We start from the raw sequence: 23,268 nt of genomic DNA, 5'->3' as shown, positions 1-23,268 counted from the left end.
GTCCATATTCTGAGGGGCTTACTGTTGAATGAAGAAGCTAATGTATCACATAGGGAGGGTAGAGAATCACTTATTCACTCAGCAGGTATTTGCTGAGCGCCTACTCTGTGCCAGGCTCCATCTGGGCACAAATGCCTCTAGATACCTGGTTGTCAAAAGCAAGATATTGGCTAGGGTAGGTGGAGGAAGCATCCAGGAGTTGACTCTGAAGGATGGTTAGGGCTGGCTTTGGAGCAGAGTGAATGGGAAGTCAATCCCTGCTGTCCTCTATTTGGATCCCCAAAATACTACGGTTTATCTAATTCTTCCTCACTCTAAATACAAACCGCTTTTGTTCCAGAACTTGGTAGTCAAGCCAGACCAGCTGATCAAACGTCGTGGAAAACTTGGTCTCGTTGGGGTCAACCTCACTCTGGATGGGGTCAAGTCCTGGCTGAAGCCACGGCTGGGACAGGAAGCCACAGTGAGTGGGCATGGGGTCAGGATGAACGTGTGTGGTAACAGAAGCAAATATGGTCACCTCCAGGTCAGCAGCTCTGTGGATCACCCCCACAGCCAGTCTCATTGTAGCTCAGGGAAGGCAGGAGTCCTGTGGCGCTGACCCACTCAGGTGGCTGCCAGCAGTAGGCTCAGTCTTGATGCCCATTCCCAGCTCCCTCATCATCCAAACTTCTTTGTTTTATTGGTTTGGGCAAGATGTGCTGCAGAGGTAACCTCAATATAATTCAAGAGCCAGGTGGAAATGGTCTGATTCTTTTTTTTTTTTTTTTTGACAGGGTCTTGCTCTGTAGCCCAGGCTGGAGTGCAGTGGCGTGATCTTGGCTCACTGCAACCTCCGCCTCCTGGGTTCAAGCGATTTTCTAGCCCCAGCCTTCTGAGTAGCTGAGATTACAGGCATGCAGCACCATACTTGGCTAATTTTGTATTTTTAGTAGAGACGAGGTTTCTCCATGTTGGCCAGGCTGGTCTCGAACTCCTGACCTCAGGTAATCTGCCTGCCTCGGCTTCCCAAAGTGCTGGGATTATAGGCATGAGCCACTGCGCCCGGCCTACTTTATTTTTTTTTAAGACAGGGTCTCACACTGTCACTCAAGGCTGTAGTGCAGTGGCATGTTCACATCTCACTACAGCCTCCACTTCCCAGGTTCAAGTTATCCTCCCACCTCAGCTTCCTGAGTATCCGGGACTATAGGTGCATGCCACCATCCAGGCTGCTTTTTAACATTTTTTTATAGAGTTAGGGTCTTGAATGTTACCCAGGCTGGTCTCGAACTTCTGGCCTCAGGGAATCCTCCTGCCTCAGCCTCCCATGTAGCTGGAACCACAGATGTGTGCCACCAAGCCCAAATTCAATTATTAACTTCTCCCAGCTTGGTGATGAATTTCAACCACGTAGATGAGAGAGTTAAAGTGAAACATGGTTTAGGAAGGGTAAGAGATGCCTGGAATAAAATTATGTTTCTTCTTATTCCCCAGGGGAGCTGGAGGACTAAGGGAGGGAGTGGAGCTGAGGCCTGGCCTAGCCTGGGAAGAATGTGCCATCCACACCTGGCTCTGTAGAGCACGTGGCTCTGAAGGGCCTGGTGCTCATCTGGGGTGAAACTGTACCAGGGATGAGCTGTTCTCTTCCTTGGCTGCCTCGAGAATAGCAATGAAGGTGGTGATGGAGATGTCTTCCTCCCTCATTGGGCTTCCTCAGAGTAGCCCTTAAATGTTAATTTCCCAGTTTCTGGCCCTCATGGGTAAAGCGGGATCCTTGAAGTTGCACATGGACCCAGGCGTGAAGCGACCTGTCCCTTGAGTTCCCAGGCCTTTGGAGAGAGGATGGTGGGATTGGAGGGAGGGATGCTGAGCATGTCCCCAGGGAGCACATCCTGCTTCCTTCTGCTGGCCTCTGGGAGGGGAAGGTGGGACATCAGACATCTGAGCTGGCAGCAGCGTTGGGCCAGCAGGAGTGGCTCATTACCTCTTATGGATTGCTGTCTGGTCCCTGACTCAGCAGTGACGCACAGGCCAGGCGGGGGTTTTGGGACTTACTAGGATGAGGGCTGTCTCGCCACAGCCGCCGCCAGGGAATCACTCGAACTGATTAGCTCTGCAGGCCTGTGGTCCTCAGCCAGGAGAGTCTGCGTGGAGAAGTTTCCCTGATTAAGCCCTGGCTCCCCACTTCTCCACCCATTCCCTGCGCCCGGACCCATGTCCTGAGGCTGAGTCACTGTGCCTTCCTCAAGGCTCATGAAGCAGAATGGTTACCTCCCTTCTACCCGGTTTCCCCTCCCCGTCAAGCTCTGCCACAGCCGTGACTTGTTGGAGCCCTTTCACTTGCGCAGGTCCTGTGTCACCCTCCAGAGGAGGCCAAGAGTGGGCAAGGTCGGTGCCTGTTCAGGCACAGCCCGCACCAGAGCAAGGGGTGAAAGGGCATCTCCTGAGGACTTACTGAGCTTAGGGATCTGTGACCCCATTTTTTCTGGAAAAATCTCTCTTTGCTGGGTGTGGTGGTGGGAGTGCTTGGGCACCACCCCTGTGCAGTCCCTCCTTCTGCCCTAGGGGCAAGACGTGCTGTCCCTCTGAGTTTCATCTCCCTCAATTTTTCTGTAGGTTGGCAAGGCCACAGGCTTCCTCAAGAACTTTCTGATCGAGCCCTTCGTCCCCCACAGTCAGGTATGTGTGAGGCGGCTCCAGGCTGGGTCTTCTCCCTCCTGGAACCTTGGGTTTGTCCACCGTAACCTGAGGAAAGAAGTCAAGCTGATGAGGACAGTCAGAGGGACCAGGGTCCCTGAAGCTGCACTGAGGATCTGAGGGTGCTGCGGACTCGGGAGTCCAGAGGGGAAGGAAAGGGCTTGGTCTACAGCAGAGAGGAGTTAGGACTGGTAACAAAGGGGACTTCCAAGTGCAGGGATGAGAACGACCTGCAGGCAGGCCCCACCCCTCAGCTGGGGTTGGTCATACTGATTCAGTCTGGACCACCAGCCAGTGGGGTAGAGGCTTCTTCCTCTTGTCCTCGGGGAAAAGATGGTGGACAAGTCTCTGGATGAATGGTTTTCACTGGGTTTTAGAAAATGAGACCGTGGGGATTGGTTTCCTCTCCCAGTACATGGTAGACCATCTTCCCCAGTTCAGCGCCCCTCACCAGCTTCGCCCCCACAACCCCAATCCCACTGTCCTGTCTCTTCACCTGCAAGGCTGAGGAGTTCTATGTCTGCATCTATGCCACCCGAGAAGGGGACTACGTCCTGTTCCACCACGAGGGGGGTGTGGACGTGGGTGATGTGGACGCCAAGGCCCAGAAGCTGCTTGTTGGCGTGGATGAGAAACTGAATCCTGAGGACATCAAAAAACACCTGTTGGTCCACGCCCCTGAAGACAAGAAAGAGTTGAGTGAGAGGGACGGTAGGGAGGTGGCAGTTCGGATGAGAAGACCGACAGGCTCTGGGCACAGACTGGGGAGAGCAGAGCGGTCTCCTCTCTGGGAGCCAGGTGGTAGACACGGCCCTGTCCTGAGGAAGACAGCTGGGTGCAGGGCGGGGACTGGCTTGGAACCAGACTGAAATATGCCGCCAGCATCCCTCACCTCCTTGCCCCTGTCTGTCTGACACCTCTGCCTCCAGCTTCTCGCCTGACAGCTCCTTTCCGCCTCAGTGGCTGAAGAGCTATGTCCAGGGAGCAGGGGTTGCAGAGGAGATGGAAGGGCCAGTGGGGTGCGTTTAGGGAAATGGAGCTGTCGGTGGCAGTGAGAGATTGCTGCGGGGCGCCTGGGGTGCTGCCGAGCTGCTCCCTGATGGATGAACTGTCCCTCTCTCCCTCCCACCTCTAGAATTCTGGCCAGTTTTATCTCCGGCCTCTTCAATTTCTACGAGGACTTGTACTTCACCTACCTCGAGATCAATCCCCTTGGTAACTGGGTGTGCTTGGCTGGGAGGGGGCAAGGGTCCCAGTGCCTATGACAGCCCTGGCCTTGGCATTCAGAGAACCAGACTCCCACTTGCCAGAGGGTAACACAAGACAGATGTGCACAAGCAGAGGGGTCCCCATGCAGGTTTAGTGCCAGTTCCTGTTTCTGAGCTCTCAGAAGACTGTAGTTCTTCTCTTAGTCAACTCCAACCTCTCTCTTTGGTCTTAGAGACAGAGTCTTGCCCTGTCGCCCAGGCTGGAGTACAGTGGCACAATCTCAGCTCACTGCAATCTCCGCCTCCTGGTCTCAAGCAATTTTTCTGCCTCAGCCTTCCGAGTAGCTGGGATTACAGGTGCCCGCCACCACGCCAGGCTAATTTTTTATTTTTAGTAGAGACGGGGTTTCACCATGTTGGCCAAGGCTGGTCTCGAACTCCTGACCTCAGGTAATCTGTCCACCTCGGCCTCTCAAAGTGCTGAGATTACAGGCGTGAGCCACCACGCCCGGCCAGAAGTCCTGGTTTTGATCTGACTGTGTGCTTCTGCTCCTCCCGCCAGGTCAGGCTTTCTGACAGCAGGAGGTGGGCAGCCTCTGCACTGCTCTCACCCTTTGGCCCTTCATTCCTCCTGGTACACTCAGAGGCCTCACACTTGCCTCCCTCTGTGGGAGTTGGTCAATCATTAACCCTTGATGCTGGGAAGAGCTTGGTCTCAGTCTCTTGGGCTGTGAAGGAAGCAGGTGGTGTTGAGGGAGAGTGGCGTGGGCTGGCTCTGGCCAGGACTTCTCAGGGCAGAGTCTAGGAAGGCGAGAAATCAAATCATTCCAGCTGAGGATGCAGCCCCTCTAATGGACCAGATGGCCTTGTGCTAACTCAATCAGCTAAATGGCCCTGGGGGAGGAGGAAGATGGGTGTCCAGTGAGGTGGTATAAACGAATCCTGCTGATTGGGAGTCCAGTGCACCCTGCGGCCCCTGCTCCACCTGACACTGAGGCTTCCCCTAGCCAGACCCTGGGAGACATAGATGTGCATACCGGTGGGGGGTCTTCTGTCAGCAACATGTACCTTTAAACACTTTTTAAAAGTGGCCGGACCATGGGTTTGCGCATGGTTAGATACTCAAAAGCAGGGAGTGTAGCGTTTTGTAAAGATGTTTGAAAATTGCCATGGCAACTAATACAGACCTCCATGTCCCATTGCCTATAGGTCAGGGAGAGGGGAATGGCCTTGTAGAATTTGTTTTGCCTTTAATGGGGAAAAGCTCTGTCTCCATAAGGGCCTCTCTGGTTTCTTACTGAGCTTAGAGAGTTCTGAGGCCTGAATGGGCCACCATGGGATCGGTGTTTGTGGAGGGGTTGGAGGTTGGTGGTTGTCTCTACCCAGAGCCGGTGTCTGATGATTGCCTCTGCTCCCCTTGAAGTAGTGACCAAAGATGGAGTCTATGTCCTTGACTTGGCGGCCAAGGTGGACGCCACTGCCGACTACATCTGCAAAGTGAAGTGGGGTGACATCGAGTTCCCTCCCCCCTTCGGGCGGGAGGCATATCCAGAGGTAAGGCTGGTTTAGAGAGGAGATGGGGACTGGGGGGAGGGCGGTGGGGAGGTGACTCATCTTTGATGTGCATTTGGCCCCCCTTCATGAGCTGTTTATTTGGCAGGGAAAGGAAGACTGAGAAGCATTTAATTTTCTTAAAACCTCAATGGGGTGGGGGTGGGAGTGAGCCAAGCCTCTGAATCCCAGCCAGAAATCCTTTTAGATTTCTCTCTCAATCAGCCTCCCTCGACTCTTCACTTGATTTGTTGCCTCTCCATGATTCCAAGTGTCTCGCCTTAATCCTGATGGAAGGTCATTCTCTCCGCGTCTCACTGAGAATTTTAATTGCTCTTTCCCACTCTGTCCTCTGAGAAGTCCTCACAGCAGGACTGGGCTTTCTGGGAAGTACCCCAGGCCCAGGGAAGAGGCTGGGCTAGGAGACGGTCTCGTCTGGGGAGGCCTGGGGTTGGGGGGACGTGTGATGGGCCGAGCAGGCAGATGCTGGGGTGAGGGCATGGTTGAGCAGAGGGACATGGTTAGGCTCAGGACTTAGGCAGAGGGCCAAGTACTTGACGTCAGAGAAGGGAGATGGGAAGTTTGTCCCTAGGCAGTGACTGTGACTATGGGTGTTTTTGGTACTTGGAGACACCATCAAGTGTCTTCAAGGCATGTGGGGCCCTGCGTAGCCCCTTCTTCCCACCCCATTAAGGCACCTTTTCATGTGCTTCCAGGGAAAGCGGGGAGGGGTCCTAGGATCTGGGACCTGGTAAAGGGGGTACCCCAAGGGCCTACCTGTTGCTGTCTGGTCCCCAGGAAGCCTACATTGCAGACCTCGATGCCAAAAGTGGGGCAAGCCTGAAGCTGACCTTGCTGAACCCCAAAGGGAGGATCTGGACCATGGTGGCCGGGGGTGGCGCCTCTGTCGTGTACAGGTGACCGAAGGGGGTTGCTGAAGGGATGCCAGCCCAGTCTACCCAGCATCAACATGTGTGTAGCCTGGGTGGGTGGGGTCCTGTCACTTTGGTGTGGGAATTTGGGGCAGAGGAAAGCAGTGGCATCCCAGAGGGCTTCGAGGGATGTTGGTGAGGGCCTGTCCTGCACCCAGTGTCTTCTATAACCTTCTTGTTTGTGTCAAAATGAAGCTGTTTTATGAGTTTTAATTCTGAAAATTACGTGCTCCATACAAAGGTACAGAAAATGAGCTAGAAAGTGAAAGTTGCCTGGACATTTCCCCATCCTCTCCCTGACCAGGTCACCCCAGTTAGCAAGTTACTGTATGTCCTGTCAAGCATATATAAATATTTATACTCTTTGCTTTATAGAATATTAGGATCATATTCTACACCCTTTACAATAATTAGCAGTTTTTTTCACTTTAAGCATGGTAGACACCTGCTCACTTCTAGATGTGCAATCTGCCATTCCCTTCTGTGTGTGACTGGCACTATTTCCTCTGGCTGCAGCACACTTTCTCTTGGGTAGCCCGTCAGGGACTCCTGCAGTGTGTGATTTTGCTTGTCTTTGTGTTAGGGAGGTGCTCATTGTTCATTTTACCTGCCATTGTCTGTCCAGGGCTCCCCAGTGCCTTAGGGCTGGCAGAGTGCACTGCCCAGAAGAGTCTGATGTAGCACCATTAACCTGCAGGCCAGACTTGCATGGGAATTGGGGGCTGGAGATCCAAGAGGCCGGTTCCACAGGCTAACTCCAGTGTTTTGAGGGATCCGTGTGTCCTCCCAGGCACCAGGCTGCCACTCCCTGCCCCAAGTGTGAGAGCCATCACTGACTTCTGTCTCCTTGGCAGCGATACCATCTGTGATCTAGGGGGTGTCAACGAGCTGGCAAACTATGGGGAGTACTCAGGCGCCCCCAGCGAGCAGCAGACCTATGACTATGCCAAGACTATCCTCTCCCTCATGACCCGAGAGAAGCACCCAGATGGTGAGATACTTGCACACACACATACCTGTCCCCACTTCCCCAGGACAGCCCAGCAGGCTGCAATGGGACAGCTTCGTCTGAGGAGTCACCAAGGCTGTGTGTGGTCCTTTGCAACTTGAGGCTAATCATTGAACTTTGGCTCTCAGTTTCTCTGACTGCACAGAGGGCAGGGACCACATCTATCAGTGGGAGGGGACTGAGAGGGCAAGAGGTGATGTGTGATAAAGCCCTTCAAACAAGTGCAGGGGAGGAGGTGGCTGTGGCATGCTCCTGCTACAATTGCAGTAAACTCAGTTTATCCGATTGCGATAAACTCTGATTGCAATAAACTCAGTGACCCTCTTATATTACCTGGCCTCTGTGAGTCTCAGTGCCCCTTTACCACCTGTGTTTTGGAGCTCTGCATACCAGTTCTTCTTTCCTTGAGCCAGAGAGGGAGAGAGATTCCCTCCAGAGATATCTAGAAACCAACCTGGATTTTTGGATGTTGGTTAGGAGTTATGTAGTGCTCCTGTGGGTTTGTTCTGACCCCTGTCTGGTGGCATAGGTAATGGAGAGTTGAGCTGATAAAGTGGAATGTCTGGAGAGACTGTCCTACTCACTCCCCAGTACCTCCTGGCAGATGGGGGACCCTCATTCAGGGGAACAAGAACTTCCTCAGTTGGATTGCTGGGAAGATGCTCAAGTCTACCTATGTAACTGTTTTTGATTCTCTCTTACTCCAAATCCAGGCAAGATCCTCATCATTGGAGGCAGCATCGCAAACTTCACCAACGTGGCTGCCACGTTCAAGGTAACAGTTGCAACAGTGGTGCAGTTTCTGGGGAAAGTGGTTTGGGGAAAGCAGGGAAGGGGCCTTGAAAGCAGAGTTTGAGCCAGAGCCAAGTTACCATGAGTTCCCAGGTCAGGTAGGGAGCTCTTGCCCCAGGGTCTCTTAAAGGGGTGGAGAAGACACTGGGACAGGAGCTGCCCATCTGCGCTGTGTGTCTCTGGGCAAGCAGCTGCTACGCTGAACTATAACTCTCCCACCTGAAGCATGGGAGGCGAATTTCTGCTTTCTTCCTTCTCAGGACCAATGCTTTGGAGCACTGGCTCAATCGATCCTTTCTTTCTTTCCTTCCCTTCTCTTCCTTTCCCTTCCCTTCCCTTCCCTTCCCTTCCCTTCCTTCTTCCCTTCCCTTCCTTCTTCCCTTCCTTCCCTTTCCTTCTTCCCTTTCTTTCCTCCCTCCCTTTCCTTCCTCCCTCCCCTCCCTTCCTCCCTCCCCTCCCTTCCTTCCTCCCCTCCCTTCCTTCCTTTCCTCCCTCCCTTCCTTTCCTCCCTCCCTCCCCTCCCTTCCTTCCTTTCCTCCCTCCCTCCCCTCTCTTCCTCCCTCCTTTCCTCCTTCCCTCCCTTCCTTTCTTCCTTCCATGGAGTTTCACTCTTGTTGTTGAGGCTGGAGTGCAATGGCACGATCTCAGCTCACTACAGCCTCTGCCTCCTGGGTTCAAGTGATTCTCCTGCCTCAGCCTCCTGAGTACCTGGGATTACAGACACCCACCACCGTGCCCGGCTAATTTTTGTATTTGTAGTGGAGCAGGGGTTTCACCATGTTGGCTAGGCTAGTCTCGAACTGACCTCAGGTGATCCACCCGCCTTAGCCTACCAAAGTGCTGGTATTACAGGTGTGAACCACCATGCCCAACCGATCCTCCTTACTTTCAACACTCTCGTGAGACTCTGGGTTCTCTGCATCTCTTTTTTTTTTTTTTTTTTTTTTTTTTTTTTTGAGACAGAGTCTCGCTCTGTTGCCCAGGCTGGCGTGCAGTGGCGCAATCTCGGCTCACTGCAACCTCCGCCTCCCGGATTCATGCCATTCTCCTGCCTCAGTCCTCCAAGTAGCTGGGACTACAGGTGCCCGCCACCACACCCGGCTAATTTTTTTTGTATTTTTAGTAGAGACGGGGTTTCACCATGTTAGCCAGGATGGTCTCGACCTCCTGACCTCATGATCTGCCCGCCTCGGCCTCCCAAAGAGCTGGGATTACTGACTTGAGCCACTGTGCCCGGCCATCCTGGTCTTATATCTTTCTGTCATGAGCCCTTTTTCCAAAAGATTGGAATGAAGAAAGTGCTTTGATGATCCGGGGCTCCTCTCATCCTACTGGGGTCTTCTCAACCTGGGTGCCTGTTCACGAGTCAGGGCTGTGTGTGCACATGCTTTAAAGCACATGTGACTGCTGTCAACAAGGAAGACAGAGCTAACGTGTCTCAAGAGTCATCCCTTTCAAGATAGCCACCCAAGGAGGCCATTTATTAATATTCCATGCTGTCAGATGCTCAGTGAGTGTATTCAAAAGAGTGTGTGCCACATCTGGTGGTGGATCCATGTGAGTTTTGAGAATAATGACTAGATAAGTGTCAAACTTGAAAGTCTGAGGTCTCAAGAAGTGAGAGGCTGGGCGTGGTGGCTTATAACTATAATTCTAGCACTTTGAGAGGCTGAGGCAGGCAGATCACTTGAGCTCAGAAGTTCAAGACAAGGCTGGGCAACATAATGAGATCTCATCTCTACTAAAATTTAAAAAAAATTAGTGGGTTGAGCTAGGAGGATTGCTTGAGCCCCGGAGGTTGAGGCTGCAGTGAGCCGTGATCGTGCCACTGTGCTTCAGCCTGGGCGACAATGAGACCCTGTCTCAAAACATAAATAAAATGTGGGGCCAGACCCCATCAGTCCTGCCCAAAACAGGGTGTCCATAACTGGACCTGATTTAACAGACAAATCTGGGACAGGGGAGCCTCAGCAGCTTTTATTTAACTTCTGAGCTGCCCTGTACTGACCCTTGGTTAGGGCACTTGGTTTGGAGCAGGTACTGTACATGGAACTTTGTGTAAAATGCCTTGGGTGACAGAAGTCAGACTCTAGGCTCAAAAATCTAGCCTCTGTCTTGAGAAACAGAACTAGGACACACCTTTCCACCCTCTCATTTTTCCAAAGTGGATATCCATTGTAAGAACTGTTCTTACACCGCGCTGGGCGCGGTGGCTCACGCTTGTAATCCCAGCACTTTGCGAGGCTGAGGTGGGTGGATCACCTGAGGTCAGGAGTTTGAGATTAGCCTAACCAATATGGTGAAGCCTCATATCTACTAAAAATAAAAAAATTAGCCAGGTGTGGTGGCAGACATCTGTAGTCCCAGCTACTCGGGAGGATGAGACAGGAGAATCGCTTGAACCCAGGAGGCAGAGGTTGCAGTGAGCCGAGCTCACACCACTACACCCCAGCCCGGGTGACAGAGCGAGAATTTGTCTCAAAAGAAAGAACTATTCCCGCACATCACTTAAGAAGCTTTTGTAGGACATTGACTATGTCTTAGTACCTCTGAGAACCCTTGCATAGAGCCCAACATAGATATCCCCACCAAAAACAAAAATGTAGTAAGAGGCAGTAATGACTGCAGAAGGGACAAAAGAGAGACCAGCAAGGCCTTGCTGATGATGGAGGCCTGGAGCACCATGACATTAAGGGATGTCAATCCCGGGTACCCCACGTTCCCACCTCAGCAACATTCTGAGTGATCATATCCCAGGCCGTGGCTGCTTATGCGTAGTCCTGTGCTTCCTGAGGAGCAGCACTTGTCACATATACCTGGTATGTTTGTTTATCACGGTTATAAATCATTGACTTGTGGCTGCCTTGTTTTTAGTCACATGTCACTTTGGGCTTCCAGGGCATCGTGAGAGCAATTCGAGATTACCAGGGCCCCCTGAAGGAGCACGAAGTCACAATCTTTGTCCGAAGAGGTGGCCCCAACTATCAGGAGGGCTTACGGGTGATGGGAGAAGTCGGTAAGATGAGGACCTTTTCTCTCCCCCTCACCCTGAGTGTGGGTGGCCTTCCTCTTTGGGATTTCTGATTCCTGAGCATCAGTCTTAGGCTCTTTTGCTCTCTACTCCCCTTCCTGGGTGTGCAGTTTGGGTTTCCATTCCCTGTCCCAACACAGAGTGCTATCCTAAACTTTGGAGTGGTCAGGAAAGCATTTTCATTGAGCTCTACACTTAACAGATATTTATTAAAGATCACTCGCTCTGTGCTGGGCTTTGTGCTGGTGACGAGGGTTACAGCCACAAATGGACAGACAGCAAGCCTTGATGGAACGGAGGACACAAACTGCTATGTCAGGGGGTGCCGAGTGCCAGGAAGGAAAACAAAGCAGGGAAAGGGAGAATGCATGTGGGAGGGGTCGGGGCAGCCTTCAACAGGGAGATCAGAAAATGCTTGATCAAACTTGATCAAGGCTGGGCACAGGTGGCTCATGTACTTTGGGAGGTCGAAGTGGGAGGATCCCTTGAGCTCAGGAGTTCAAGACCAGCCTGGGCAACATGGCGAGACCCTGCCTCTACAAAAAAAAAAATACAAAAATTAGCCGGTCATGGTGGTACACACCTGTAGTCCCAGCTACTTGGGAGGCTGAGGTGGGAGGATCACCTGAACCTGGGAGGTTGAGGCTGCAGTGAGCCGTGATCATGCCACTGCACTCCAGCCTGGGTGACAGAGTGAGACCCTGTATCAAAAAAAAAAGAAGAAAGAAAAGAAAACTGACATTTGAGCAAAGACCTAGAATGAGGGAGCAGCGCCATGGTGACTCTTGGAGAGGGAAGGGCAAATTCCCATACCCTGCAGTGGTAAGGGGCTGGGACTGAGAGAGTGGCAGCGAGACACTACAGGTCACAGGAGGACTTGGCCATCACTGTGAGACAGCAGGCACAAGAAGTGTTCAAGCAGAGGAACCACATATTTATTATTATTATTATTTTTTGAGACAGTGCCTTGCTTTGTCACCCAGACTTGAGTGCAGTGGTACCATCATAGCTCATTGCGGCCTCCACCTTGTGGGCTCAAGTGATCCTCCCTCCTCAGCCTCCCAAGTATTGGGGACCACGGGTGTGCACCACCACACCTGGCTAATTAAAAAAAAAAAATTTGTTGTGAGATAGTGTCTCACTGTGTTGCCCAAGCTGATCTCAAACTCCTGGCCTCAAGTGATCCTCTTGCCTTTGCCTCCCAAAGTGCTAGGATTATAGACGTGAGCCACTACAACCAGCCAAGTGACACAATTTGACTTAGGTTTGAATTGAATAGGGTTAATTTTTTTTCTTTTTTTTCTTTTTTTTTTATTTTGAGATGGAGTCTCGCTCTGTTACCCAGGCTGGAGTGCAGTGGCGCGATCTCGGCTCACTGCAAGCTCCGCCTCCCGGGTCCACGCCATTCTCCTGCCTCGGCCTCCCAAGTAGCTGGGACTCCAGGCATCTGCCACCACACCTGTCTAATTTTTGTTTGTATTTTTAGTAGAGACGGGGTTTCACCGTGTTAGCCAGGATGGTCTCAATCTCTTGACCTCGTGATCAGACTGCCTCGGCCTCCCAAAGTGCTGAGATTATAGGCAATTTTTTTTTTTTTTTTTTTTTTTTTTTGGAGACAGGGTCTCACTCTGTCACCCAGGCTGGAGTGCGGTGGTGTGATCACAGCTCACTGCAACCTCTGCCTCCCAGACTCAAGGGATCCTCCCACCTCAACCTCCTGAGTAGCTGGGACTACAGATACATGCCACAATAAATACACAATTTTTGTACAAAAAATTAGCACACACCTGGCTAATTTTTTTGTAGACGAACTTTTGCCATGTTGCCCAGGCTGGTCTCGAACTCTTGGACTCAAGCGATCCACCTGCCTAGGCCTCCCAAAGTGTTGGGATTACAGGTGTGAGCCTTTTGTTTTCTTTTTAATAGAGCTGGTTCAAAGCTGAGGATCTGCTATGTGCAGTGGGGCAGGCCTGGGGACAGCACAGTGAAGTTACCAGATCATGCTCTTAAAATTAGAACATTCCACAAGTAAACAGTAGGAGAAGATGCTAGGGGTCTGTCTGTACAAGGAGGAGGGGAGCGTGGCATGGGAGAGTGACCATCAAGGTCAGAGGGGGCCTTTCTCAGGAGGTAGTGCTTGGGTTGAGCTGGGAGACCAGAGAGCAGCCAGGTGAAGCTCCATGGAGAGCTCCACGCAGAGGGAGAAGCAGGGCCAGAGCCCTGGGGGAATGGGCTCAGGGTGTTTAGGAACAGAGACCAAGCACTGGTGGATGCATGCGATGAGGGCTAAGGAAAGCTGGAGAGCTGGGGTCCAGACTGCGAACAGGAGGAATATGGGCTCTGATAATTTGGTTACTTGAATCTTGCCAGTAAATATGTTTCTTATGTGGTTTTTTTTTTTTGGAGACAAGAGTCTCACTCTGTCACCCAGGCTGGAGTGCAGTGGCGCAATCTCAGCTTACTTTGCAACCTCTGCCTCCCAGTTTCAAGGGATCCTCCTGCCTGAGCCTCCGAGTAGCTGGGATTACAGGCACACGCCACCACGCCTGGCTAATTTTTTGTGTTTTTAGTAGAGACAGGGTTTCACCACGTTGGCCAGGCTGGTCTCAAACTCCTGACCTCAAGTGATCTGCCCGCCTCGGCCTCCCAAATTGCTGGGATTACAGGTGTGAGCCACTGCACCTGGCCTGTTTCTTGTTCTTGTTATCAGCAAGTGGCCTTTAGAAAGATTTGTCTGGTGGTGAAATTATGACAGCTGATTTGTCCTGGATATTGGTCTTGCACTGAATGCGCCAAACACTGATCATGGCTGTAAAAGGCCCTTTGCAGGGTCACATGGACTTGGGCCCTTATCTGCAGACTTGAATTATGGATTTTTTTTTCCTTCCCTTGCAGGGAAGACCACTGGGATCCCCATCCATGTCTTTGGCACAGAGACTCACATGACGGCCATTGTGGGCATGGCCCTGGGCCACCGGCCCATCCCCAACCAGCCACCCACAGCGGCCCACACTGCAAACTTCCTCCTCAACGCCAGCGGGAGCACATCGGTAGGTTCCAGCCTCCCCAAACCTTACAGGAAGGAACCATCTCATCTTTTCCACTAGGATACAGTCTTCTTCCTCTGTTCCCTGGGGGCATAGAGGAAATACAGCGGGAGTTAGTGCATGGTTGGTTTGTGGATCTCTGCCAATTTTTTTCCTGTCCTGATTAAAGTAGTATAATGGAAGGACAAAGGATTTTAAAATTGGATCCAAGTTCAAATTGTGGCCGGGCATGGTGGCTCATGCCTGTAATCCCAGCACTTTGGGAGGCCGAGGCTGGCGGATCACCTGAGCTCAGGAGTTCGAGACCAGCCTGGCCAACATGGTGAAACCGTGTCTCTACTAAAAATACAAAAGTTAGCCAGACATGGTGGTGCATGTCTGTAATCCCAGCTACTCGGGAGGCTCAGGCATGAGAATCACTTGAACCTGGGAGGCGGAGGTTGCAGTGAGCTGTGATGGCACCATTGCACTCCAGCTCTGAGCAACAGAGTGAGAATTCGTCTCAAAAGAAAAGAAAAGAAAAGAAAAACTTAAAAATCGTTACTCTTACTTTTTGCTGAGAGAGCAACCTTAGCCAGTACCTTGTCCACCCAGGGCCTCAGTTTGCTGATCTGTAACATGGGATAATATTAATTCGTATCTTAGAGGATTATTAGTACTTTTGGAAGCAGCTTATAAAGAGCATTGCTGTGCATAATTTTTATTACGAGTTTTCTTTGGGGCCTTTAAGGACCAGTGGCTTTTTTCCCAGGTGTGACTCTTACCTCTTACACTCTCTCCTTATCTCACCCCAGACGCCAGCCCCCAGCAGGACAGCATCTTTTTCTGAGTCCAGGGCCGATGAGGTGGCGCCTGCAAAGAAGGCCAAGCCTGCCATGCCACAAGGTAACTCCCTGAGGCTTCAGGCATGTTGCAGGGAGTGGCCTTGCGGTACCCTCTGTATCTCTCTCCCCTTTCCCTTTCCCCCCTGGGCTGGCAGAGGCAGATGAACAGCGGTTTGGGTTTTGCAATGGGAGTGCACCTGGGACACGAGGATGGTATGACTTGAGCCTTCCCTGTGGGCGCTCCTGAGGCAGAGGACCCACGCCGTGCCTGGTCGCCTCAACTCCCCCTATTCTCTTCTACCCCTGGTTCTTCTTATGGGGGTGTGGACTGGGCAGGGAGGCTGTGGAGGAGATAGGGTTACAGAAATCCCAGGAAGTGGAAAGTTCTCTGAGACTCTTCTCCTGAGTGGAGGGCAGACACCGGGACCCCAGGACGGCAGAGCCAGCTCATACAACAGCAGTTCCCAGGCCACCCCCACCATCTTGGGGCCCTAACAGACATTCCCTCCTTTGAATCCCCAGCAAGAAAAGCCCCCGCCTGTCAGCCCATCTGTATTTCAACTAATTTTTCTCTCCGTGTAGATGTGATTCCTGCCGGCCAGCCCTTGCAGCCAGCTCTACATAAGTGGTGTTAGTTACCCCTGGGCTGGTATACCTGTGCAGCCTCTTCCTGGGACACACTTTGCTATGGCATTTTGGAAAATAGTGACACTGTCCCAAATCAGCATCCTTGTCCATGGCACGGGTCAACCCCATGCTGGCCAATCATCTCATAGTGTTTCATGGAGACAAAAAGGGATTGGCATTAAGAGGGTGGGACTGCGCCAGCTAGAGAGCCCAGAGTTCAAGTCATCCAGCTGTCCCTGCAGAGGGCCTGGGGGAGGCGCTGGTGTTGAGCACATCTGCCCAGCCTTTGTCCTCCTCCTGCCCCCTCTCTGCCCGTTTGGTCTTTGCTCTTTCTTGCTTCCATTCTGCTCATCGGTGCTTTCACCTCTTCTGCTGGCCTTACTCCGTTGTCCATTGCAGAACAGGAGAGGGATGATGAGGGCTTTAGCCCTGAAAGGCTTGTCCATGGGACCCTTCCCTGTTCCCACCCTCTCCCTCCAAAGCCTCCAGCCATCAGTGGGTCACTCAGTTGCCTTGGTCATTTTCTTTGACAGATTCAGTCCCAAGTCCAAGATCCCTGCAAGGTAGGATGCCCCCACCCTGCCCCCACTCCGCGTGTGGCTTTGTTAGCGGGTGACAGTTTTACTGTGTGCTCTGTTTCCCCCTCCCCTGGTGGGTTGCAGTGTCGTCTGGTCTATTTTCTGTCCCTGCCTTGATGTGGCCTGACCCCAAGTCCTAAGTCTTCGCTCTTCCTCCCCTCCTATCCGTGCTCAGTACGCGCCCCACTCAGTCCTCTCCTCACTGTGTGGCTGTTTCTGGCTCCAAGCTTGGGAAGGGGTAGAGATTTTGGAAGGAGCAAGAGCCAGACCCACAGCCCTGGAGAGTGTAGTGGTGTCAAGGAGAGAGTGTCGCCTGGGAAGGAGGGAGCCATCCAACTAAATGGGGAGTGGCAGAGAGTCGTGGGCGTCTGTCACTGCTGGGGTGCAGAAGGGGAGCCACAAGTCACCCCTGCTTCTCATTTACATCTCCTGATGTCATTTTCCCACCTTTCCTGCCTCGGCTTCACCACTGCCAGCTTCATCCTCAAGCTCCAGGGACCAGTTTATCTTTTTCTGGGGTTGTGGTGGAGGAACAAAAGAGGTGAAGAAGGAGGTAGACGGAAGCGCAGAAGGGTGTGCAGCGGATCTAGTGACTGGGTAATTGGAAGGGGTATGAGCTTTGTCTGGTGTATGAGGTCACATTTTACAGTGGATACTTCTGTGCATGCGCATTCACCCACCAGCCTAGCTGAGTAGATTAATTGGTTCATGGCATCAGAGCGTCCATTTAACTTTGACATTCACAGCCGTGGAGGCGGGGAAGTCTTTGTTGTCCCCTTGCTAAGGGGAGGGGAAGGAGTAATTGGCAGGGTCGATAACCAGCTGGAAAGGCCTGGAATGCAGCACTGTGGCCACCTGGCTTTAATCCTGATGTTTTTGCCTCTGGAAAAAGTTAAGAGCAGAGTGAGCCCAGTGTGGAAAGAACAGGGACCAGCCCTGGTTCTCCAGGAGCTCTCTGTGCTCTGAAGGGGAGGAGGGTTATGAGGAGGGGGGTTATCCTTGTTACTTTCTGGAGTGAGAGAAATAAAAGGAGGGTGTGTCAGGGAGAACAGATTATGGCTGAGCGAGCCCTCCCCTCAGCGAGGCCAGAGGAGGCCTGGTGTAGGGGGCATAGCCCCTGGCACAGAGGTTCTCTCTGGAGCCTCTCTGCTGCTGGTGGGCTGAGGATACACCCTTCAGCTTTGGTTTCTCTGTGCTTGAGGAAGGGCCACTTTACCTCCACCCTTCCTGCTGGAGATGCTGGTAGGTTGGTAGATTCCAGGCTTTGTCTTGATTTCTGTAGCTGGCAGGGTAGATAGATCAGAGGCATGTGCACGTGCGTCACCTGGCGGGGGTGACATGATGCAGGCTTCCCCTGAGGATGGCGGGTCATGAACTCACACTTATATTCTCCCTCCTCACTTTCACAGTTGAGCTGCATTTTAAGTGATTGTGTAATCCTGGCTCTGATGCTGGATGACCTCGGACCTCAATCATTTGGCATCTCTGGGCTTCAGTTTCCTAGGACTGGGAAGTGGGAGAACTGGATTAGGTGGCTCCCCTTGTTCTGTGATCTCATGTCTCAGCAGAACCCGGGGGGTCTAGGTGACAGTAAATCCCAGGTATTTGCAACATCAGGAACCTTCTGTCATGAGAAGCTGTAAGGCTGTGATGGAAGAGGCAGGCCTGTACAGGGATTTAATGAGACCATGAACTTGGTTAGCCAAGCCTGCTCTAGTACAGTAGGTTAATTAATACGAGATGCCACTGGGCTAGATGCATCATTCTTCCTAGGGGAGCTCAGAACCTCCCTGAGGGCTGCTTTCCTCCTCTTGGACTTGCAGGGACCCAGAGGGGAAAGTCAACTGCCTGAAGCGTGGTAAAAGTCCTTTCCCTTTAGGCTAAGGACTGCACTTTTTTCTTTTTTTTTTTAAATATACTTGCTGCATTAAAATTTTCTTTTTAAAATTTTTGTGGGTACATAGTAGGGGTGCATGAGATATTTTGGTACAGGCGTGCAATGCGTAATAATCGCATCATGGAAGGTTTTTCTTTGTTGTTTTTTTTTTTGAGGTGGGGTCTCACTATGCCGCGGTGGCTGGTTTCGAATTCCTGGGCTCAAGTGATCCTCCCATCTCAGTCTCCTAAGTAGCTAGGACTCAAGCACGCACCACTATGCCCACCTAGAGAACTGCACTTCTACCAGCTCCTTTTGTTCCCTTACCCTTTTTTTTTTTTTTTTTTTTTTTGAGACAGGGTCTCACTCTGTGGCCCAAGCTGGAGTGCAGTGGTGCGATCTTGGCTCGCCGCAACCTCTGCCTCCTTGGTTCAAGTGATTGTGTGTTGGTTTCCCAAGAAGCTGGGATTACAGGTGCATGCCACCACGCTAATTTTTTTTTTTTTTTTTTTGAGATGGAGTCCCGCTCTGTCACCTGGGCTGGAGTGCACTGGCACGATCTCGGCTCACTGCAACCTCTGCCTCCCGGGTTCGAGCGATTCTCCCTGCCTCAGCCTCCTGAGTAGCTGGGATTACAGGTGTCCACCCCACCACACCCAGCTAATTGTTGTATTTTTATTAGAGACAGCGTTTCACCGCGTTGGCCAGGCTGGTCTTGAACTCTTGAGCTCAAGTGATCCACTGGTCTCAGCCTCCCAAAGTGCTGGGATTACAGGCGTGAGCCACCACACCTGACCTGCGCCTTACCTCTTAAGTGCCCACTGGAGGGTCTGTCCAAGAGCACTGTCCTGAGCAGGAAAGAGCCACCTGGTAGAAGGGAGAAGGACAGGAAAAACAGGAGAGCAGGTTGAGGGCACTGGCCCTGTGTAACTAGCTTGCTGCTCCTGCCTTGTGCAGAGCCCTGGCCAGAACCACAGTTAGCGATAAGGCTGCTGTGTCCTCAGCCCCGGCTGCACAAACCTCTTCTTTGGACCTACACTGACCTAGAATTCATGCTGATTCAAACCCTGACTGGAGCTGGTTTTATGTCCAGATTTACAGGGTAATAAGCATTGTTGGAACATAAGTCCTGAACCCACCAAAATTGGGCGAGCTAAGCATTTTTTTCCAATGACTTTAAAAATAATTTGTTAAGACCTCATTTGCATATAAGCTGATGACACACCTTGCCTGGGAAATGAAGCAGGTCCTATAGGAATTATCCTGGGCATCTTTGACTGTGGGGCCCTTCTTTCTCCATTCTTTGCAGAGCTACTTACCAGCTAGCAGGCCCTCTTAGCTTGATTTGCTCTTTCTGCCACCTTCTTCCAGAAAAATCGAGGCACCTCCTCCCCAAGTTCTCAGAATTCTGTCCTCTTGACATTCCTTTACGGTTGTGATGAGGCATCACCCTGTGGACATGGGGCGTGGAGGGGTCTGTCAGGCAGCCCTGGCCCCTGCAGGTCTCCTGGGGGTATGTGTTCTGGGTGCACTCTCTGTGTCTTTGCCCACCAGGAAAGAGCACCACCCTCTTCAGCCGCCACACCAAGGCCATTGTGTGGGGCATGCAGACCCGGGCCGTGCAAGGCATGCTGGACTTTGACTATGTCTGCTCCCGAGACGAGCCCTCAGTGGCTGCCATGGTCTACCCTTTCACGTGAGTTACCCCATGGCGGGAAATATCTCCTTCCTCTGCTAAGACAAAGCTTGGGGCTGGGCACAGTGGCTCATGCCTGTAATCCTAGCGCTTTGGGAGGTCGAGGTGGGAGAACTGCTTGAGCCCAGGAGTTTGAGACCAGCCCTGGGCAACATAGGGAGACCCCCATCTCTACAGATAATTTAAAAATTAGCCGGATATGGTGGTGTGCACCTGTAGTCCCAGCTACTTGGGAGGGTGAGGCAGGAGGATTGCCTGAGCCTTGGAGGTTGAGGCTGCAGTGAACTCTAATTATGCCACTGCACTCCAGCCCGGGTGACAGAGCAAGAACCTGTCTCAAAAGAAAAAAAAAAGGCAAGGCTTGAGGAGTCAGTGAGCTCATTCCCTTTGCTGGGGAAGGCTTTGCCCATCCTAGAGACAGAGGCAGTCAGTATTCCTGGGGGATCTTTGTCCCTTAGATGAAAATTCTTTGAGGGCACAGACCATGCCTTTTCTATCTTCTAGGTGAAATTCCTCCCCTCAGCTTCCCCTTCCCCAGTCCTGACAGGTTGAGGATATCCTAATTCTTCTTTTACTTTCTCACAGTGGGGACCACAAGCAGAAGTTTTACTGGGGGCACAAAGAGATCCTGATCCCTGTCTTCAAGAACATGGCTGATGCCATGAGGAAGCATCCGGAGGTAGATGTGCTCATCAACTTTGCCTCTCTCCGCTCTGCCTATGACAGCACCATGGAGACCATGAACTATGCCCAGGTAGATCACTGGGCTCTGGAGGGTGGGGGGTGGGGACCATGAACTATGCGCAGGTAGATCACTGGGCTCTAGGGGACAGAGGGTGGGGAAGCAGGAATGGCTCCTGGTTGATGTCCCGTCACTGCTGCCTGGGACAAAGGGCTGGGGATTTGGGAGTAGCCAGTGGTTTAGGTGGAAATGGTTGGAGACACATGATCTTCAGAAGTCAGGATAGTGACTTAGGGCAGGTCAGTCTGGGCAGAGGCTGCTTATCTGGGCTTACAAAGAGGCTGCTCAGGCCTGGGACAGTGACTTATGCCTGTAATCCTAGGACTTTGGAAGGCAGAGGCAGGAAGATTGCTTGAAGCCAAGAGTTCAAGACCAGCCTAAGCAATAAAGCGAGACCCATTCTCTACAAAAAGCTTAAAAATTAGTCAAGCCAGGCATGGTGACTCACACCTGTAGTCCCAGCTACTCAGGAAGCTGAGGCAGGAGGATCAATTGATCACCCAGGAGTTCAAGGCTGCAGTTAGCTATGATCATTCCATGGCACTCCAGCGTGGGTGGCAGAGCAAGACCCTGTCTTTAAAAAATTAAATAAAGTAAAATAAAATATACGCTGGGCATGGTGGCTTATGCCTGTTATTCCAGCACTTTGGGAGGTCAAGGCAAGAAGATTGCTTGAGCCCAGGAGTTTGAGACCAACAAAGCAAGACCCTGTCCCTATAAAAAAATTAAAAAAAAAAAAGAATTAGCTGGACATGGTGGCATGTGCTGGCTGAGGTAGGATGATCACTTGAGCCTGGGAGGTCAAGGCTACAGTGAGTTGTGATCACACCACTGCACTTCAGCCTAGGCAGCAGAGTGAGACTCTAAATAAATAAATAAATAAATGTTAAATAAATAAATGAGGTGGCTCAGGCTCCACCCCACCCCCACTATATCCTCTCTGTGCTATGCATAACTGGCTTGAAAACTGGGATTGGCTGGATGCCATGGCTTGTGTTTGTTGGGCGGCAGAGGCGGGGGTATTGTTTGAGGCTAGGGGTTCGAGACCAACTTGAACAACACAGCAAGACCTTGTCTGTACTTAAAAAAGGATTAGCCAGGCATGATGGCACTCACTAGTCCCAGCTAGTAGGGAGGCTAAGGTAGGAGGATCGCTTAAGCTCAGGAGGTTGAGGTTGCAGTGTGCTGTTATCATGCCATTGCACTCCAGCCTGGGCAGCAGAGTAAGTCCCAGATCCTGTCTCAAAAACAAACAAAAAAACAAATCAGGATTAAAGCACTTTATTTTATGTATGTTTGTATTTATTTATTTTTTTTTTTTGAGACAGGGCCTCACTCTGTCACACAGCCTCCACTTCCCAGGCTCAAGTGATTCTCGTGCCTCAGCCTTCTGAGTAGCTGGGATTACAAGCACATGCCACCACACCTGGCTTTTTTTTTTTTTTTTTTTTTTGTACAGATGGGGTTTCACCATGTTGGCCAGACTGGTCTCGAACTCCTGGCCTTAAGTGATCCACTCACCTTGGCCTCCCAAAGTGCTGGGATTACAGGAGTGAGCCACTGCACCTGGCCTATTTTAATTAAAAAAAATTTTTTTTTTTTGAGACAGAGTTTCACTCTTTTTGCCCAGGCTGGAGTGCAATGGTGCAATCTCGGCTCACCGCAACCTCCGCCTCCCGGGTTCAAGTGATTCTTCTGCCTCAGCCTCCCAAGTAGCTGGGATTACAGGCGCCTGCCACCATGCCCGGCTAATTTTTTTTTTGTATTTTTAGTAGAGACGGAGTTTCACCATGTTGGCCAGGGTGGTCTCGATCTCTCGACCTCGTGATCCGCCCGCCTCGGCCTCCCAAAGTGCTGGGATTACAGGCGTGAGCCACCGCGCCCGGCAAATTTTTTTTTTTTTTTTCAATCGGTCAGCTTCCCAAGCCAGAGGAGGCTCAGAAAGACTCCAACATTTCATTATAAAAATATTACATATTTATTATAGAACAGTTTCAAAATACTGATAAATACTGTTTTGTTGAAAATAAATACTTGAGGTCCCATTTCAGAAAAACATGACTGCTGCTATGACGGTATGTCCTTATCTACCCCCTTTTCTAGATTTGAGCAAAGGGAATAATACTGTATGCCACTCATATAATCTGCTTTCTTCAGTTGCTCTTTCCACATCAGTAAGCACTAACTGGCAGCATCACTTTTGCTTTTGCAAATCTTGTGATGGGCAATCTCGGATTAACATTTGCCTATATCCTTAATTATTCCCTAAGCATAAATTTCTAGAAGTTGAACTACTGCATCAGAAGGTGCAGGTTTGAGGCTGGGTGCGGTGACTCACATCTGGAATCCCAGGACTTTGGGAGGCCAAGGTGGGTGGATCATTTGAGGTCAGGAGTTCGAGACCAGCCTGGCCACCGCCTCTACTAAAAATAAAAAAAATAGCTGGGTATGGTGGCAGACACCTGTAGTGCCAGCTACTTGGGAGGCTGAGGCAAGAGAATCACTTGAATCCGGGAGGTGGAAGTTGCAGTGAGCCAAGGTCGTGCTATTGTACTCCAGCCTGGGCGACGAGAGACTCCATCTCAAAAAAAATAAAATTAGGATATTGATTATTTTGTTGAAAATTATCATCTGATCCCAGACTGGCTTATTTCAGTTTATGACTGGAGAATATAA

The 23,268-nt window shown here is 51.3% G+C and overlaps 1 protein-coding gene and 1 long non-coding RNA gene across 6 annotated transcripts in view, besides 3 other annotated features; one reads left to right on the top strand and one right to left on the bottom strand.

Moving 5' to 3' along the window:
- Positions 1–23,268, top strand: part of ACLY (ATP citrate lyase) — a 63,629-nt gene that overhangs the window by 17,663 nt on the left and 22,698 nt on the right. For 3 of the 5 annotated variants that reach the window (XM_005257395.2, NM_001303274.1, NM_001096.3), the window contains exons 3-16: positions 341–463; positions 2,599–2,661; positions 3,183–3,373; positions 3,815–3,894; positions 5,311–5,441; positions 6,237–6,355; positions 7,225–7,361; positions 8,093–8,154; positions 11,070–11,187; positions 14,098–14,252; positions 15,044–15,134; positions 16,234–16,263; positions 19,709–19,850; positions 20,436–20,604. In XM_005257395.2, coding sequence (XP_005257452.1) covers positions 341–463; positions 2,599–2,661; positions 3,183–3,373; positions 3,815–3,894; positions 5,311–5,441; positions 6,237–6,355; positions 7,225–7,361; positions 8,093–8,154; positions 11,070–11,187; positions 14,098–14,252; positions 15,044–15,134; positions 16,234–16,263; positions 19,709–19,850; positions 20,436–20,604 — 1,611 coding nt within the window. The remainder of the gene's footprint in view (positions 1–340; positions 464–2,598; positions 2,662–3,182; positions 3,374–3,814; positions 3,895–5,310; positions 5,442–6,236; positions 6,356–7,224; positions 7,362–8,092; positions 8,155–11,069; positions 11,188–14,097; positions 14,253–15,043; positions 15,135–16,233; positions 16,264–19,708; positions 19,851–20,435; positions 20,605–23,268) is intronic. The other 2 variants (NM_001303275.1, NM_198830.2) reach the window with 1 other exon arrangement.
- Positions 1,639–2,838: an enhancer, noted in NCBI's record as "CDK7 strongly-dependent group 2 enhancer chr17:40066298-40067497 (GRCh37/hg19 assembly coordinates)". NCBI's record gives its function as "activates an origin of replication core promoter dependent on BRD2, BRD4, P300/CBP, MED14 and CDK7 cofactors, with strong dependence on CDK7, by STARR-seq in HCT116 cells {active_cell/tissue: HCT116}" and the evidence as "EXISTENCE:reporter gene assay evidence [ECO:0000049][PMID:35650434]".
- Positions 1,640–2,139: an enhancer, noted in NCBI's record as "H3K4me1 hESC enhancer chr17:40066997-40067496 (GRCh37/hg19 assembly coordinates)". NCBI's record gives its function as "activates a minimal SCP1, AML or CMV promoter by ChIP-STARR-seq in naive H9 embryonic stem cells {active_cell/tissue: H9 hESC(naive)}" and the evidence as "EXISTENCE:reporter gene assay evidence [ECO:0000049][PMID:30033119]".
- LOC124904005 (uncharacterized) lies at positions 17,117–19,698 on the bottom strand. Its single transcript, XR_007065757.1, has 2 exons — positions 17,495–19,698; positions 17,117–17,160 (listed from the first exon to the last, which is right to left on the bottom strand). It is a non-coding gene; the product is annotated as an uncharacterized LOC124904005 (long non-coding RNA).
- Positions 19,140–19,340: a silencer, noted in NCBI's record as "peak2844 fragment used in MPRA reporter construct". NCBI's record gives its function as "represses an SCP1 promoter by STARR-seq MPRAs in K562 erythroleukemia cells {active_cell/tissue: K562}" and the evidence as "EXISTENCE:reporter gene assay evidence [ECO:0000049][PMID:32103011]".

The sequence above is a fragment of the Homo sapiens genome, chromosome 17 (assembly GCF_000001405.40).
Source record: "Homo sapiens chromosome 17, GRCh38.p14 Primary Assembly".
Lineage (NCBI taxonomy): Eukaryota > Metazoa > Chordata > Mammalia > Primates > Hominidae > Homo > Homo sapiens.
Note: the sequence above shows the minus strand (reverse complement) of the source record. Positions and strands in the feature narration are given on the sequence as shown.